This window comes from Homo sapiens, chromosome 12 (assembly GCF_000001405.40).
Source record: "Homo sapiens chromosome 12, GRCh38.p14 Primary Assembly".
NCBI classification, from domain to species: Eukaryota; Metazoa; Chordata; class Mammalia; order Primates; family Hominidae; genus Homo; species Homo sapiens.
Genome location: NC_000012.12, coordinates 104,989,502 through 104,994,477, shown reverse-complemented (window position 1 = coordinate 104,994,477; position 4,976 = coordinate 104,989,502). Strand labels below are relative to the sequence as shown.

At 40.6% G+C, this 4,976-nt stretch overlaps 1 protein-coding gene across 1 annotated transcript in view; it reads right to left on the bottom strand.

Annotated features, from left to right (window-relative positions):
- Positions 1-4,976, bottom strand: part of NOPCHAP1 (NOP protein chaperone 1) — a 31,310-nt gene that overhangs the window by 23,148 nt on the left and 3,186 nt on the right. Inside the window, exon 3 of the mRNA NM_152318.3 lies at positions 2,630-2,766. Coding sequence (NP_689531.2) covers positions 2,630-2,766 — 137 coding nt within the window. The remainder of the gene's footprint in view (positions 1-2,629; positions 2,767-4,976) is intronic.

Here is a 4,976-nt window from a genome sequence, read left to right as displayed (position 1 = left end):
CTGCAAAAAGTAGTGGACAGGAAATCTATTTCAGAGCAGTTCCTTAAAAAGTCGTAATAAAACAATATTGGGAAGAACCAACATTCAGCAAACATATTGAAACATAAAGGATAAGAATTTGGTTTTTTTTGGAGACAGAGTCTTGCTCTGCTGCCCAGACTGGAGTGCAGTGGTGTGATCTCAGCTCACTGCCCCCTCCGCCTCCTGGGCTCAAGCAATTCTTGTGCCTCTCAGCCTCCTGAGTAGCTGGGACTACAGGTGTGCCCCATCACATCCAGCTAATTTTTGTATTTTCAGTAGAGATGGGGTTTCACCCTGTTGGCCAGGCTGGTCTTGAACTCCTGACCTCAAATGATCCACCCACCTTGCCCTCCCAAAGCGCTGCAATTACAGGCATGAGACAGCACACCAGGCCACAAGGATAAGAAATGTTTTTAATACAACATGGCTCTTTTATATTTTTAGTTACCAGGGTCTGTCATAATGATGATTTAAATTTACTCTAAGTGTCTAAAATATCTGCTACGGCCCAATTCTATATACCCTAAACACATTCAACAACATTCTTTCAGCAAATACTAACATGAGTTAGGCACTACACTAGGTACTAGAGACTCAATAACAATAAAAAAATCAAAACAAACCCCTCGCTTTGGTGAAATTTACATTTTCAGGCAGAGACCAGTAAATTACAACCTGCAGGCCAAATCCTGCCCACCGCCTACTTTTGTTCAGCTCACAAAGTAGGAATGTTTTTTCTATTTTTAAGTGGTTGGGGGAAAAAAATTAAAATACTGCTATTCACGAAAGGTGAAAATTATATGAAATTCTCATTTCAGCACCCATACACAGTGACGCACTGCTCTAATTGAGCCAATAAGCGATCACTCGGGGCCTTCTGTTGGAACTGTTGAGAGAGAAATCTGAGTTGCTGACTCTAAGGCTGAAGCTGCTGATAAACCAGAAACCTACCACAGCTGGGGGAAGAGCATGCTCTAGATTAGGTCAACATTAGGAAAGCAGAACCAAGAGACAGAGCGGCTGACCACTGAGGACACTGAGCACCTGGATCCAGGTGCACCTGAAATCACCAATCCTGGAGGTTTTTTTTCCCCAATAAAATGTTTTCCCCTTGCTTATTCATGTATGTATTGTCAGTGGCTGCTTTCACACTATGACAGCAGAGTTCACCAGTCACAACAGAGACAGTAAGGCCCACAGAACCTAATGTATTTACTATCTGACCTCTTACAGAAACATTTGTTGACTCTTGTTCCAGAGGCGAAAGAAAGGCAATAAACAAATACATATAAAGCATAATGTAGGGTTGTGAAAATATGGAAAAATAAAGCAGGATAAAATAATAATACAGCTATCAGGGAAGGCCTCCTGATCAGGTGACGACTGAAAAGAAACAGAGGGAGTCGAAATGGAGAAATCTAGGGAAAAGCATTCTACCTGAGAAAACCGCAGGGGAGAAGACCGGCTGCAGTGAGACTGGTGCTGGAGGGCAGTAAATGAGGACTGTGTAGGAGATAAGGTCAGACAGAGCAGCAGTGCCCAACCTCTTTGGTACCAGGGACCAGTTTTGTGGAAGAAAATTCTTCCACGGACCTTGGCAGGGATGTTTTGGGGATGAAACTGTTCCACCTCAGATCATCAGGCATTAGAATCTCATAAAGAGCGCACAACAACCTGGATCCCTTACATGCACAGTTCATAATAGGGTTCACGCTCCTTTTGGAATCTAATGCCACTGCTGATCTGACAGGAGGCAGAACTCAGGTGGTAATGCGCTCTCACCCACCGCTCACCTCCTGCTGTGCGACCTGCTTCCTAACAGGCCACAGACCAGTACCAGTCCACAGCCTGGGGGTTGGGAACCTCTGAGATAGAGAACTGCAGGCAGGATCATATGGACCCTTTGAAGGACTTAGTTTATTTGAAACGTGATGGGAAGCCCCCAGGTCCCAAACTGTGTGAACAACGGACCCCAGGGAAGGCACAGTGAACGCAGGAAAACCTGCTAAGAAATTGCTGCAATACTCCAAAGGAGAGGCCATAATTACCTGGGCCAACAAAGGTCCAAAGGAACTGCAGAGGTTGTACAAAGTGGTTGGATTTGGGATCTATTCTGGAGGGAGAGCTGAATAGAATGGCTAATGAATTAGATATTATTAACAATTGTCTCAGCTTGGTCCAGACACAGATATTATAAACGGAATTCCACTGCAGAAACAAGATATGAGTATAAACTGAGAGAACATTTTTGCACATAGCTTATGTAATCAATTGCTCTCTTCCACACATCATTTATTTTTGCATACTCAATAAATCAGGCTATGATTACCTCTTTTGGGGCTTGGACAGAAAAAAACCCAGTTAGGACATCGAGTAAATTAATGCTTCAGAATAACAAATGTAGCATTTGACTTAGGAAAAAAAACCTTCCTGTGACATCATATGACTAAAATGACTAAATCATAAAATGACTATGTACCTATACAACATTGGAAACATGAGCTAACACCAGGAAAATGAAAACTTGAAAATAAAATGGAAAAGTTCTCTTCTTCTTAGGTGACAGGCAGACCAGTAATTTCACCATATGAAAACAAAGCATAGTTACCATTTGTATAACTTTACTATGAGGCCCATCAATGTTTTCAATATTGAAACGACCAGGTGGTGCAGCTGCCATTTCTTTTCTTAGCTTTTCATTTGCCCGTGCCATCTGTGGGAGAAATGTCTGTACCTGGTCCAATACTGTGGAAAGTAAATACAGCATATCAACATTTATGCTAGTAAATTCTGAAACCCAGGATTTCCTATAAACACTTCTGAATTGAGTATTAATAATAACAACCATAATTACATATCTTTTAGTTCCCTTCATTTAAAAACCCTCCATCCTCTTCTGAATAAAACAGTAGGACTACACAATCCAGCAATTGTTTCACAAATGTTTTATGTTTCTCATATATCCCCAGGACTGTAAACTCCTAGAAGGCTGGCATTCAACAAATAGTAACTAAATAGGGAGGCAGTGTGACTTAACAGTTAAGAGCACCAGGTTCTGAGGCTTTAGGGTACGAATAACTAGGTATGTACAGAATCCTAGTTCTACCTCTATCTGAATTACCTTGGGCCAGTTAATTAAGTAGTGGTTATTTCTGCCTACCCAACATACGTTCCCTTTCTTCTGATAATATAACCCTGGCTTTCCTTTTAAGCTTGTGTCACTCTTAGTCACTCTTGCCCCTCACCCCATACATGCCTACATCCTCCATATCCTTGGCCACTGTACCATGCTTTAGTGGCATCACAGTGACACGCTGCTCTAGTCGGGCCAATAATAGATCACTCAGGACCTTTTGTTGGAACTGTTGAGAGAGAAATCTTTCTGAGTGAATGACTGAGTTGGCTGAATATAAGGCTGAAGCTGCTGATAAACTGGCAACTCTCCACACCTGGGGGAAGAGTACGCTCTAGATTAGGCCAATACCCAGGAAAGCAGAACTAAGAGACAGAGTGGCTGACCTCTGAGGACACTGAGCACCTGGATCCAGATGCACCTGAAATCTACTGTGCCTGGAGTATTTTTCCCCCAATAAAAAGAGCCAACATAATTTCTTTTTTTGCTTAAGGCAATCTGAGCTGGATTTTAGTCATTTGCAACCAAGAATCCTAATTAATACATTTAATTCTACCTCTTGAAACCTCAGCGTACTAATCCATAAAAGAGGAGTGATAACTGTCAGTCACTGTGCCAAATACAGAGCAGTCAACAAACAAGGATATTTATTTTCTCTCTCAAAAGAGGCCCAGCACATAACCACGCATATAACAGACTCTCAAAACTTATGTAACTGCTATGGCTACATAACAGATGACTAAAATGTCCAGCGTATGGAAGAAGAAAAGAAAATAGTGGCCAAGGTCAAGTAGACGACCTCTATTTGTAAAATAAGGTGCTGGAAGGACTCCCTAAGAGCATGCACACAAATAAAGCCCGACGTAATAGTGAATGTTAGCTCTCATTCCCCTTCAGATTACAGAAAGAGAAATTACTAATACAAATAAAGGTATTTCTCTGTCCTCAGATTTAAATATATTGCTACAGATAGAAAATCTGGTACTGCTTTTGTTTCCAACTAATGAATCAAGTAGAGCAAAACAAGTACCAAAATGTGCGGCCTGAACTGTGATCCTCAGAAGCCAAATAATTCCGTGGTACTCTAGGAGAGTATATGCTGAACCCTGAGGCTAGTCCAGTCGTGGTTCTTCTAAATTAAATAATACTCAACACACAACACCATAATATTCAAAATGTCCAACATCTAATAAAAAATTAGCAAACATGCAAATAAACAGGAAAACATAATCCATAAAGAGTAGGGAAAAAAGATTCAGAAATGATGCAGACGACAGAATCAGCAATAAGAATGTTAAAACAGCTCTTAGAAATATACTTTGTATGTTCAAGGAAGAAAAGAAAAGCACAAACACAAGGAAAGAAAAAAAGATGTAAACAGTCTCAAACTTCTAGAGATGGAAACTGTATCTACCTTGAAAAAATACATTTGATAGAATTAACAGATTAGACAATATAGAAGAATAGTGAACTCAACGAAATCAGCGATAGAAGCTATCCAAATTGAAACACACAAAACATAAGACCCAAACAAACAATCAATGAGCTGTGAGACAACCTCAACTGGCAAAATTAGGTGTCATTGGAGTCCCTTCAGGAGAGGCGAGACAGGAGCAAGCAACAACAACATCCCTAAAAATTTCCCAAATTTGATAAAAATTATAAACCCATAGATCCAGTAAGTTCAACAAACCCAAGCTCAAGACTCACAAAGAAAACTACAAAGGGCACATCACCATAAAATCGGTAAAAACCAGTAATGAAGGGAATCTTAAAGGCAGCCAGAGAAGAAAAGAAACACCATATTCATGACACAAAATGA